The 13,987-nt window shown below is 35.4% G+C and overlaps 1 protein-coding gene and 1 long non-coding RNA gene across 2 annotated transcripts in view; one reads left to right on the forward strand and one right to left on the reverse strand.

Moving 5' to 3' along the window:
• The window catches only part of LOC112268030 (uncharacterized), a 71,615-nt gene extending 65,664 nt beyond the window's left edge, over nt 1-5,951 (forward strand). Inside the window, exon 3 of the long non-coding RNA XR_002956724.2 lies at nt 4,251-5,951. This is a non-coding gene — a long non-coding RNA (uncharacterized LOC112268030). The remainder of the gene's footprint in view (nt 1-4,250) is intronic.
• RAD21 (RAD21 cohesin complex component) overlaps nt 1,297-13,987 on the reverse strand; it is a 28,843-nt gene continuing 16,152 nt past the window's right edge. Inside the window, exons 5-14 of the mRNA NM_006265.3 lie at nt 13,715-13,821; nt 12,630-12,836; nt 12,009-12,134; nt 11,529-11,651; nt 9,608-9,831; nt 7,912-8,071; nt 7,311-7,459; nt 5,981-6,130; nt 4,309-4,392; nt 1,297-3,054 (exon numbers count right to left, since the gene is read on the reverse strand). Of these exons, the coding sequence (NP_006256.1) occupies nt 2,863-3,054; nt 4,309-4,392; nt 5,981-6,130; nt 7,311-7,459; nt 7,912-8,071; nt 9,608-9,831; nt 11,529-11,651; nt 12,009-12,134; nt 12,630-12,836; nt 13,715-13,821 (1,522 nt within the window). The 3' untranslated portion in view covers nt 1,297-2,862. The remainder of the gene's footprint in view (nt 3,055-4,308; nt 4,393-5,980; nt 6,131-7,310; nt 7,460-7,911; nt 8,072-9,607; nt 9,832-11,528; nt 11,652-12,008; nt 12,135-12,629; nt 12,837-13,714; nt 13,822-13,987) is intronic.

Consider the following 13,987-nt stretch of genomic DNA (forward strand, 5'->3'; position numbering starts at 1 on the left):
CAGTTTTAGAGAAACTAAGTTAAAGTGTATGTAGTTCCTCCAAGTAGAGATGTCCACCTCACGACGTACTTTAGAATTAGAATCCAAGTTTAAAACCTTGCCCAAGTGCGTGCACCTAAGCGGCCTGAATGAAAGCCAATGTTATCTTCATCATACAAATGTTAGCTGCTTTTCAAACTGCTTTTAATTAGCTCATAGGGTTTTCACAACTCTTGGAAATCGGTGGGACTCGACTTTCACTTTTAGACCCAGATACAGAATGACACTTATGAAGTTTCAGGTTCTATAATCAAATTAAGATTACAGCCTGGGGCCTAGGCCTCTGGCCCATTGCTCTTCCCACTGTACCACTCTGGTAACTCCAAGTTTCAGGACAGTCAAGAGACTGGATTCTACTGTCTACACCTAGGCCTTTGAATTCAAACACGCATGGTTCTGCTCTAGCTAAACATCATTTCACTTTACTCACTATGCCAAGCCATCTTTTCAATTTTAGCAAAAGCTTTTTATCATCTGAGAATCTTTTATTTCTGAACTTCCCCCAGGTACTGTGGCATGCTGTATTCTAGGCTCTCAGCACTTTCACATTAATCATAATTCTTTACTAGAGGCATCTATGGCAGTGAGCCCCAAATTCAAGCTGCTTTGGGTTTCAGGATAATTGATGCTTAGTAAAATCTGATTTTTTTCTTTTAAAAACAGCAACAAATTTACACTCAAATCAGGGTTTAAACCATAAAATCGCAGGGCTTTAAAGCTCACAGTGGGGGCCGGAGCGGGGGCAGGGGCAACAGGCCTAGTCAGAGGCTAGAATGTAAAAGTGGGTACATGTCAGGTTACTGAACGTCCTGGTTTTGAGTTTGGCTTCTCAGATTGACCTAGGATATTTCTAGCACCTGCCTACCCACCTAGCTTGTTTGGAGCACCAAGGATGTACACACATAGCATGTCAGTTTGTATGTACTTAGCAGTTACAGAGATATATTTATGCCCCAAAGCTTCCTCTGTACCAGCCATTTGTTGGTTTCATTTTTAATCTTAATACCTTCACACATAACAATTATATATTTATTAAAATTTCAGATCACCTAGTTCTGTTAACAAAGAAGGTTGGAGACAAGCTAGTCTGTCTTCCATTTTTTAGTCTAAGACCTCTTTCTTTTGAAAAATTCATTTGGTTTGTATGGATAACTATTCTAGATAAGGCAAACAAACGAAGTGTTTGGCTCTATTAACTTTTTCAGCCAACTTTCCCTTGGGGACCACCACCAACTGAATAATGAATACTCAAAAAAGTACAGCTTATAACACAACTTTTATTAGAAAAGTTATACATAACATAGCATCAACTATTTTCAAGAACAATATTAAACCCGATAAGCAACAAAAACCAGACTAACAAAATGTGTAACAAGAAACTAATGACCTTTCTAAAATCAAACATTCAATTATCTACAATGTCTTTTTACAAACGGGGAAAACTCCTTGGTTTACAGGCACATCATATTGAATGTAAAGCTGCAATAGCAATTTTATACAATTACCACTCTGAAGAAACTGAATCATTAAAACAGTAATTACGAGTTCACAAATTTAAAACATTTCACATAATTTTAAATTATTGGGTATACACTGAAGTCTGAGTTTCAAAAGTGATTTTTTTTTCCCACAAAAGTTTCAACACTTAAGCTAGAACTTTCAGTGTTAACTTTGCCCTAAAAAGTTAAGACATTCTGATAATCATAACAGTCACATGATTTCTGATGCTATCTGGTCTGTTAATAATAAAGTCTTTATTTGGATGTATTTTTCTTCAATTAAATTACAGGAAACTGGATATAGGATTTCGTTGCAACGCTATTAAAGTTCCAAACCAGGAGTGTGCAGCACTGGAAAAGGAGATCAGTACTAAAACTTACAATAAATATCAGAGAAGCCGTTAGTTTTTACAGCATCGTCTGCTTAAAAGCTAAGTTGACCAGGTGCATAATTTCCCATCAGTCTGTCCTTGTAGTAGGCAGGGCAATTTCTGTTTTCATGATCGGAATACTCAAATATATCCAAACATCTTTTTAAAACTTTGATTTATAGCTCCTAGAAAGTTATGTTTTTTAATAGTCACTCTACTCTAATCAGGCCTAGCTTTGCTCATTTTGGAGCCTCACTAAAATAACAGATTTCAGTATAGCCAAGTTCATCAGAAAGACTCAAATGGAATGATTTACAAAATAGAACACTTTAAACCAGGTCAGTCCTATCTTTTTGTAGCTGAAGGCTATCAGTCATAACACAATTTCGCGTACACCTCTGCTCATTATGGAATTACACTTAAAACGAATCTCAAGAGGGTGACCATTGTTGTTTCAGATACCATCCCTAAGGAGAGTGGTTAACAGGAAGATTGCCAGTGTTACTGATGGAAAGAAGTGTTTGTTTGTTTTTTTTTCTTGTCAAAGACTTACACCATAGTTTTAAATTAAACTGTCAGGCATTTTCTCAGACAGGTTTTCCTTTTCAATGCAGTAATGAAGAACTAAGATAAAAATCATGACTTTTGACTGCCACTCAACATTATTACATGCACCAATATTGCACACATCTGTTCTGAACTGTTAAAATCATCTTCTGAGTCCTTGGGGTGCTGTTTTCTCCATCAGAACACAAACACAACCCATCTAATCAGTTTCCCTCAAAGATGAAATTGACAAATTTAATGTACTGGAAAAAAATGAAGAAGGAAAAAGGCAAAGACTTTGTACAGACAAAAATCTAAGTTTTCTCAAAGGGTTCTGTGTCCCCTACACATGGGGGCAATTTGTAAGCACTAGTGAATCAAACACTAGCTATAATGCTTCTAGCTCCTTATATAATATGGAACCTTGGTCCAGGTGTTGCGATGATGTCACTGTACGGTTCTTCCTGTGTCAGCTCAATAGCTTGCTGCTTTTTAAGAACCAAGAAGCTGTAGAACTTTGCGGCAGCTTGTTTTCTGTTCGTATTTCGACATAACTCAAGCAAACTGATAGATTCAGCTCCAGTTTTAGCAAGAGCACGCTGAAATAAAACCAAAAAAGGGTAACTTAATCTGTATAATAAAGTAGTAATTCAGTGAGGATGCTGATACAGTTTGAATATTTGTCCCCTCCAAATCTCATGCTGAAACGTAATTTCCCAGTGTTAGAGATGGAGCCTAGTGAGGTGTTTGTGTCATGGGGTGGGGATGGGGGTGGTGGTGGATCCCTTATCAATCACTCCCTGTGGCAATCAGTGAATTCTTGCTCGTTAGTTAACACAAGAGCTGCTTGTTTAAAAGCGCCTAGCCATCTCTCTCATGCCCTCTCTTGCCATGTGACACACCTGCTCCCCCTTTGCCTTCCACCATGACTATAAGCTTTCTGAGGCCTCACCAGAAGCAGATGCTGGTGCTTTGCTTCTTGTATAGTCTGCAGAACTGTGAGCCAAATAAACTTCTTTATAAATTACCCAGACTCAGGTATTCCTTTAGAGCAACACAAAACAGACTAACACAGATGCTAATTTTGGTTACTGGAAAAAACAAACTATATATTCTGCTTAGGACAAAGATTGCACTTTTTTAAATAGTATGTGATTCTCATGTTAATCAAGAGGGTAAAAGGCCAAAGTATGTTATGGTACATCTAAAATCCAAATAAGAAAGTCCAAGAAACCAGCAAAATTGTTCTGACATGTATTATTAAAATAACCAATTTCTTTAGACAGCTAATGTAATATAGTAGTAAAATCTAGCACTTATAGTTTTTAAAGTAAAAAATTAATAAACACATGTCAACTGTCCTATTTTAAGAAACCTTGAGCAACTTGCTTGGCATTTTGCAGACATTCAAGATATCCTGTCTATGTCTAGGACATTAAAGCACAAGGAAAAGTAACGTCTGATGCTACACAATGACCCAATAAATTTAATGATTCAGCACATTAAATTTACTCAACAAAAAACAAGAAGGTGCAGGCATACAAAGGAGTTGTGTGGTATGTCACCATGGTTCTGCTTTTCAGGAAAACCACAAGCATTCTCCTCCATGCTTTTCCGGCTTACTCTTGGCCTAACAGTTTATGTATTTAATTAAAACTTAAACTATAATAAAAAAAAAAAAGAAAAGAAAACTCTCCCTCCAGAAAAAATAAATAAATAAATAAAAATGTAGTTTTGGAAAAAGTTTGACAAAGGTATGCTTTCTGTTTCCAGCATCTAACTTTTTTTTTTTCAGGGAACAATGGCAAAAGCCTTTGATGAAGCATTTTCCTCTGAGACAACAGCGGCAATACCTGAAGACCATGAAGCATCTGCTGAGTCCTTTTGTTCCATCTTCTTTCTTCCTGATCTTGATCGCCCCCTGATGCATCTTCATCCTGAATAAAAATGACCCCCAAAAAGCTGACAAAACAAGTCCAATGAAAAATGAAGTATTTCTACATCTCCTAAAAGCTCCTAAATTACCTTGAGATTGTGTATTTTGAACTAATAGAAAACTGTACTTAATGCTGCTGAGCAATCACTTAGCATTTAGAGTACAAACTGAAGAGTCTGTTTTTCTTAAATTACAAGGCAAAGTCCTCTATGTGCAAGCAAACATTTGGCTGAAAGTATGCTTCTATATTGCGCTATAAGGATGCTATCTACACACACTATGTGGTCTGTGGACTGCTGCTGATCATGGAGGTTTTGGTTACTGGCCCCTCTTAAAGAACTTCAGGATATAAATCAACTGTACCACTAAATATACTGTTTATTTCAACTAAATATACATACATAAATATTGCAACATGATTTTCTAGATGACTAATGTTCTGGCAGACTCTTAATCTCATTGTGGAGCAGTACCAAAGAGCCTGCAGACTACCTAAGTTGATTTATATGGTGTTTTAAAATGAATGGGCTATACTCCTTATTATATATTTCACTTGAGCAACCTAGTTCTCAGCCACATGCTGCCTAAATGACTTTTTAAAGTCCAAGGTGGGTGCAAGGCAGCAGTTGTGATGTTCCCAGGCTATGGTGAAACTATATACCAGCCATAACAGAAACCACAACTATTTTAATACTCATTCACAACTAAGTCTGAGATAATGGCACATCCTCACACATAGGTAGAAGTGGCTCTGAAACTAATTTTGGCTTTAAAATAAGATATTCATATTAAAGATAAGCACTATTATTAGAATTAAGAACAGATGCTACTGAAAATTTATCCAATCCATAACCTTTTTTGGTCTTGAAGAAATTTAAACAGCTTCAATGCTACCTAAAGGACACCTTATTTTAAATTTAAAGGTTTAAGTAACATATCCGATAGAGTATCAAACAGAAGAATAAATTCTAAGTCTTAAACAACAACCTCAATGATCCAGAAATTAGGAAGAAAAAGAAGAAAAAAGACCTTCAACAGTGTAAACATGCCCCAGGAAAAAGAAATTGATTCCTAAAACACCTCTTACTTTGTAAAAAGAAAAAGTCATTTAAGCCTTCACTCAGTCTAAGTGTTTTAGCAAAGTTATGCTTTACCCTGGTCCAAGTAAAAGAAAAACAAAAACAAAACCCAGACAAGTGGAAAACATATGGTTATCTGATTTCCAGGCCACCACAGATACAGAAAAGGTTATATCAGAAGCAGACAATAACAGCAGTAAGAATCGTCCACTGACCACAAGATAGTAAAAGCAGCTACACGCAATTTAGAAGCCAAGCAAGAAATCAGTGTAAGGACAATTCCATGTCCTTCAAAACCCCACAAGAGAGCCAATGAGTTACAGCGAAGCATAAAATTTGATGTTCCTAATGATGATCAATACCACGAAGAATATGGTAAAATTTTGCTTATATTCTAACATTTTTAAATAACTCTGATGCTCAGCATCAATTAAGTTAGCCCCAATATGAAAAATAAAGCTGGTTGGAGGTTTTTGCTAAATCTGGAATGAAAATTATTAATTAGTTTACCTCTTCCTCTTCATCATCTTCTTTTTCCTTCTCTTTCTCCTTCTCTTTTTCTGGCAGAAGTTCTAACTCTGGTATTAGCTGACAGATATTTGGAGGTTCTTCTGGGGGAAGCTCTACAGGTGGTATTTCCATCTGCTCTACCTGCTGAGGCTTAAAGCAATACAAATAAGACAATTTAAGATATATGCTTTTAAAGTAGCTTATTTTAAATATGAAAATACACAGTGGCTGAAGTTTTCTAGTCAAAAAGAAATACTGAGATTATATCTCTATACTTCCCCACAAGGAAAAATTTATTACAGTATATATCTTTTTTGATTTTTTATAAAACTACATTGAAGTAGCTTACAAAAGAAACTGACTGCTTATCCTAAACCATGTTTCATTTTCATACTTACTTTTTAGGAGTCAAATGCTTTTTAACTACTAAAGCTTCTGTAAGGTTATTATATTGTAACTTATAAATCATAAGCTTTCTCTCTGAGAGTCTTGAATGTCTCACGGCAGCAAATAATAGGAGTGAGGACATTGCTTTTCTGGGTCCACTTCCTATATCTTCTCTCAGGCTTTACAGAAAGAGTTAAGAACATTAAAACCAAAGTCTTTAAAAGAAACTAAAGAATTACCAGAAGGAGGGTGGTTATGAAAGTCACCTACTCATTACTGTGTTCCTATTCCTGAGCTCATACAGAAAAATGCTCTTATTGACAACTCTTACCACCAGAGGGCACAGAAAACTAGTTCTTAAAATTGGCAGAGTATTCTTGATGGAGGCTGAACAAGAAGCCTAAGGTTATCTAAAAGCCTCCCTTTGCACAAATTCATTTATTCTATGGACTTAAGATTGGAAAGCCCTAAACCAAACCCTACTATTTCCTCCTTCATACTTGCTTAGCTTTCCTATCCTAGCTGAACTCAATGGTAGTCAAAGTTTGAATGAAGCAGACAGATACTGCTTTACATTTTCTCAGGTATTTGAAGTTTATTCTGATTACTTAATAAGATGACCTAAAACTGCCTAGTACTGAAGGTGTGCAGGAATGTTTGCCAAATAATAAATCAGAACCAACTTCAGAGTCAAGGATGCTCACTCTGGAGCACTCTAAAGCAATACTATTCAAAAAGAGTCAGGAAAGACTGCACCGACTCCCAGAACATATTCTCTCACTCCGAGTGGACTGTCTATATCCTGTTGCTCTTCTTCCTCTGGACTCATTCCTTACCATTTTCTGTCAAAACCAAGATACTTTAAAAGGCCTCCCTAAATACCACTTGCTACTGACTGTATGAATACCTTCAAATGACTTAATGGATAGATTTGCTTACTTACAGGCATCACAGGCTCTGGGTCAATTTGTCCAGCTTTTCGCTTAACTCCCTGAGGTGGTGGTGGAGGCATAGCTGACTCATCTATGTTTGTTCTGCTGGCCTCCATCACTGACTCCTGGAGGCGGCTTGGCTCTTCAATAATGGGCTCATCTGCAATTGGTCATATGAAGAGAAAACATAGGTCATACAGTTTTGAACAGTATTATAGAACCATTTATTTTTTAAACTAGTACACTAAGACATACATAATGCTTTCTTTAATGAAGAAGGCCAGATAAAATTTTAGCTCCATAAAGATTTACTCAATTTTTAGCAATATACGTAAAGGGGAAAGGGGATCTTAAAAGGACAAGTCCTACCCTCAGTACAATGTAGGACAATTCTTTAGCAGACTATCTACCCTGCCAGTTCTGAACCTTAAAACTCTGGAAAGACAGGAGGCTTCATACTTAAATAAGGCAATCAGATCCAATGCATTTCCCTGCCCAAACATTTGAGTATATCTTTGATTCCTCATTTCTTTCACTCTGACAGTATAAAGGTAAATTTTAAGCCAAATACTCATGTGAACTTCATCAAGGAACTATTCCAACAGAACAAACCGATAACATCACGCTGCTGATGCTGCTGTTGCTGGTCCTCTCTAGGAACCTCTGGATTTTCAAATTCTTTGAGGAATTCATCCAAATTATCTGCCTCTCCTCCTTTCCTCCTTTTTCTAAGGTCTTCTGGTACAAGCGGTGTAAGACAGCGTGTAAAGAGCTATTAAAAAAAAAAAAAAGAAAAATTTCAATTATAAAATAAATCTAATTAAAAAGTCACCACTGATTTCTATCTTCCAAAGGTATGTTCTAATAAATATAAGTGTATAATTTAGCATGGCTTTTATCATATTCACATTTCATTCCATCTGAAAATGATTTTAAATGAGTTTTCAAATTATAACTGCAGACATTTTAGATAAACTAAAAAAACTGTATCCATTATCTCACAACCTTAAGGGCTTTTCTATTTATCTGCCTGCAGTTTATTTTCATATTCATCAATTAAAACTCATCCTAACTGGTCTCATACAAAATAGCTTTAAATTGTGTTTTCTTCCCTTACATATGGTAACCTTATTAGCTATCATTTAAACTATTTTTTTTTTGAGATGGAGTCTCACTCTGTCGCCCAGGCTGGAGTGCAGTGGCACAATCTCAGCTCATTGCAACCTCCGCGCCCCCGGTTCAAGTGATTCTTGTGCCTCAGCCTCCTGAGTAGCTGGGATTACAGGTGTGTACCACCACACACGGCTAATTTTTATATTATTAGTACAGACGGGATTTTACCATGTTAGCCAAGCTGGTCTCAAACTCCTGACCTCAAGTGATCCACTCGCCTCAGCCTCCCAAAGTGCTGGGATTACAGGCATGAGCGACTGCTTCTGGTCTCATTTAAACTACTTTTAATGGCTACATAATATTTCATTTTGAACCATTCCTCTACTTTTAAAATTTCAGGCTTCTCTCTTTTTAAACTGTAAAGAACAATGTAATCAACATTTTCACAGAGATAGCTTTTCCACACTTTGAATTACTTCCTTAGGAAAAATTTCTAATAATGAAATTACTGAGTCAAAGAATAAATAGTTTAAGGACCTTCTTAAAAATAATTATATGATAGGGCTTACAATAAAGAGCACAATGTTGTTGCTCTGGGATACTTTAGATTTAGAATATATTACTATATTCTAAATACACGGTAAAATCAATAGGTTCTGTGCATATCTCAACTTCAGACAGAATAGTAGCCTAACAGCACTGCTTCATTCACCAGACACCTGTGAGTCTTATTTTGGAATACTGTGGAATGTGAGCAGAAAAGAGCCTATAAATGGAAAAACAAACAAACAAACAAAAAAACAAAACAACAAAAAACCTCCTGAAGCCAGAATTCTTTACTGTGGAAAAAGGAGAACCACTCATGTTTCATTCAGAAAACATTTCAAGAATTCAGATGTAAAACACACTAAGACGATATAACTAATAATTTATTACAGAGAGAAGTATTATTAAACACGTCAGTGGCTTTTTAATGTAAGGAAAATTCATTTTACATCTTTTAGAAATGCAGGTCTCACTTATCCATATATTTCAGATGAAGTTATGCCCAGTACACTGTGATTTAAGGGAGAAAAAAGAAAATGTGCCATACAGTTGCAAAATACTTGATCAAAAATGATTCAAAGGTTTTAGAATCTTTTTTTTTTAGATGCTCAAAATGTATATGAAGTAAAAATTCTGCAAACTATATTACCTTCAGTAGTCTGTTATTCCACAAAGGCTGAGCAGGTAAAGAAAACAGTTTTTCTACTCCTCCTGTCTCTTTCCACATCATCAATTTCTTGGTGGGCGGTGCCAGATCCAAAGTAGTAACAATATCTGAATAATCACTAAGTTGGGCTCTAATTGTCTTGCTATCCAACTCTTTGACACTGTCAACAATTAGCTTCCTCTTCCTCTTGGCTTTTGTTTCTTTAACTGGAATGATAATAAAAAATAAGATCATTTTCCTGAGAGGCCAGCATGGAACACACAGCTACAAGATCTGGACTGACTATATTCCCCTGCTTTTCTACACACAGACTCTAGCAGAGAAGTTAAACTTCATGAGGATAGAACGTTTTAACTCATGTTTTCCAACCACCATTCAGAAGAGAGGCTGGAACACAACGGGCATTCAACAAAAATTTGCTGAATGAGTATGTATAGACTTTTAGCACAAAATAAGCAAAATGACGCAAGGGCCAACACATTTTTGCCTATGTAGTTTTATACTGTAAACAATGAACATATCACACTCTTCAGAGTTGGGCTCATTTTCTCATTTGAAACAGGGCCCATCACTCAAACTCACAGATTGAGTTTTCTTTAATGATTGTAAATACTGTTATTTTTATTAGAAAAGTTGTAATTCACATATGGCAGTTGTGGAAGCTGCTTGATAGAATGAAACAAGCCCAAGCCCAGTCAGATAGACCTGTTAACTCCATCCTAGACATTTTAAGAGTCATTTCTAATCCTTACAACTTACAAGTAGGTTGTATTGCCTCACTTTTTTAAAATGCAGAAAAGCGCATGGGGTTAAATAAAATCCTCAAGATTTCACCCTGTCAGACATACCCCAAAGGTTTTTGGTTCAACACTTAAAAAAAAAATACAAAAAGATGTTACACAGTGAGAGTCTCTCTCTAATCTCACCATCTAATACAGTATATATTTTACTTAATTGCCCATTTCCCTCATCAATGGGAAACCCAAAAGGGTAATCTTGCTCTACTTAAAGGTAAAAACTATGTCTAAATTACACTGTAATCAATTTCAAGTATTCTATCCTACTGTCCTCATAAACCATCTAGAAATTGTTAGGTTTTATATCCCCATTATCTCAAATTGTCTGTCATTCAGAAGCAGCCTTCCTCAAATTAAATAATGTGTCTTGCAATGTTACTTAAAAAAACTACAAGAAAAAGATTATTCTAGAAATTTTGACATTTCCAGTTTTTAAATTTAAAAAAATTTCTTTTTTCAGAATGTGTGGAAAAAGGCAAATTCTAAGAGTGCATAAAATTTTTAAAAAAATTTCTTCTTGAAGAGACAGGTCTTACTATATTTACTGCCCAAGCTGGTCTCAAACTCCTGGCCTCAAGTGGTTTTCCTGCTTGGGCCTCCCAAAGTACTGGATTACAAGTGTGAGCCACCACACCAGCCTCTAGTTTTGTTTTTTTTTTAAAAAGAATACTTTTAGTTTTTTCCAGCTCGTAGACCAACTGCACAGCATTTAGAATTGTACTTTATTGAAAAAAGCTTTCCAATGTTTTCCAGTTGTTACACAAGTAAGCTGCTAACTTTCTGGGAACCCCAGGAGACTAAGATATGCATTATCAGAAAGCTTGTTCTATACTTTTGTATTTCACAGCAACTTGCACAGACATTCTACAAAATACTCAAAATTATAATTGGATAGAAGAAAGACTCTATGACAGATGACTGTGACATAAAAGCAAGAAGCTAGTTAACTAAAGCAACAGTAGCAGATCAGTAGACAGGCCAAAAAAACAGAAAAAAGCAAGAAGCCTAGTTATCTAATACAACAGTAGCAGATCAGTAGACAGGCAAAAACCAGAAATAGGACCTTATGTTGTATGCTGTATAAATCTAAAGGTTCATATGCTTACCAGTTATATCAATAGGCTCCAATGCAAATGCTTCTTCCTCATTTGGAACAAGTGTTGTTTGATCAGTCATGGTTGGCATTGGTTCAACGGGATCCACTGAATCAGGACTATCAGGCCCACCCACTGTAAAAAAAAAAAAAAAAAAAAAAAGTCACAAAAAGCTTTGGTATATAACATATATCCCACAAATGGGGAGGAGAAAAATCTCTTCATGAAATGGAAAGAAATCCTGTTATTACTAAGAAAAAATATTTTTCTAGTTAATGGGAAAGCCCCGCCAGACTTGAACCCAATTGGCCAAAAAAATGGGGAGGGGTGCAAGATTAAACATAGAATCAGAACCAGTAATCATAAGCACTGTACTTAAAGATATTTATAATTCACTAAAAACTACAACTTTTAGTTTGTCATCTTCTATGGTAAGTATCTTTCTGGATGCCATACAATCATCCCCAGAATCACTGAACATGAAATGCTTACTTGATACATTATCATCCTCATCCATATCGTCATGTGCAGGCTGCTCTGGCAACATCACCCCTGCCTCAGAGAGGGCAGGGGGATCATCAAAGATACCGCCATCATTATTACTAATAAGTTTGTCATCTGAAATAGGGAATGTAAGTTAGTTATAATTTGAAAAAGAAATGCCAAACCACAACAGCCAATCAATGGAAAAACAAAATTATGTTAAAAGGGATAAAATTTAAACGTATACTCAACTTTTATCTGTTTCTCCTCCAGGTAGTTTATAAAAGTATAAAACACTTGGTATATAAAAAAAAATTCTCATTCTTCATTTGTATTTTCTAGTTTATTTATCTATTTTAAAAAATATTTTACTTAACACAGCTATCAAACACAAACAGAACAGTTTTAAGTACTAATAAAATTTAGCATTCTGAGATAAGCATATTTAGGTTTTGTTACAACATTTTAAGAGGCTAGTTTTACCGAAATGTCCTATTGAACCAACTGATCACAATTCACTCATATATATCTAAAAGCTGTTCAAGACTCAGAATTAGCAACTGTTTCCAAAACTTTACAACTTAATAAAGAAATTCTGTTTATGCTGGAATAACCATCATTCCCACATACCTAATATTCCACCATCATTTCCTTCTCCAAAATTATCATCCTTATATTGATCTTCATATTCTAAATGGTTAATTTTCTCATTCAGATTGCTGGTGCTCTGTTCAGACTCTAATAGGAGGTTAGAAGTAGTAGTGCTTACTAACATGTCGTCATCCTCAAAAGCACTGCCTTCTCTCATTATCTCACGATCATCCATTCCAAAATCACCTAAACAAATTTTAATTTGTCATTAGTTTAGAAAGATTAGAAATAGCACTGTGATAAAAGAAAACTGCTAATGATTTATTCTAATTATGTCACATTTGCTTACTGAAGTCTTACTTCAAATGTTAAAATATCTAGTTTAAACTTTAATTCTTTAGCATCTGAATTTTTTAAAATGACTCAATTACACACAGTTACAACACTGGGGCATGACTAGCAAATTCAAACTTAGATCTAGATTTAAATGATCCTAAAATATGTTTGATAAACTCTAAATATGTATGTATGTTAAGTTACATTAACAGTCACAGCTGAAACTTTCCCGTTATAATGTGTTTCATCAAGAAAAGAATCTGGTTCTGGGCACAGTGGCATGTGCCTGTAGTCCCAGCTACTTGAGGCTGAAGTGGGAGGATCACTTGAATCCAAGAGTTCGAGGCTGTAGTGTGCTATAATCCAGCCTGTGAAGAGCCACGGCACTCCAGCATGGATAACACAGCAGAGACCCCGCCTCTTAAAAAACAATATGCCTTGCTAACTAGTTTTGAATACCTGTTTTTGAATAGCAAGTATAACAGGGAAACTAACTGTTCCAAAATGGTTGGTTTAAACGTGATCACCACTTCAATGTTGGGACTCCTCGCAGAAATCAATATATAGGTTCTATGATTGCATATAGGGAGAGAAGTAGGTAAACAATTAGCTCCAAGTATGAAAATAATGCTTAATCTACTGGTAGAAAGCCAAATTCTTTTCTTGATGAAAATGCATTACATGAAATTTTAAGTCTTTCTGTCTATAGTCTGGTTTTCTTTTGAAATTGCTATTAGCAACACAATATAACATTATAATTAATGGCTAATAATTTGTTTCTCTTTTACCAAAATCATTTTCTTGTAAAATACTGATGTTCCCAACTTCTTCTCTCATGGTTATCTCTTCCACTCTACTCTGATTCAAGCTGAACTGCTGGGCCACATCGATGTCACTTTAAAAGAAGGTCAAATACATTTTAGTTTCAAGTCTATGTATAAGAAAAACAAATCCCAATTCTCTCTATAAGAAAAATTAAAAAAATATATATGTATAACCCACCAAGTTTTAGAAGCCTTAATATTTAATACTTTCACACATTCCAGTACAATCCAAGAATG

This window comes from Homo sapiens, chromosome 8 (assembly GCF_000001405.40).
Source record: "Homo sapiens chromosome 8, GRCh38.p14 Primary Assembly".
NCBI classification, from domain to species: domain Eukaryota; kingdom Metazoa; phylum Chordata; class Mammalia; order Primates; family Hominidae; genus Homo; species Homo sapiens.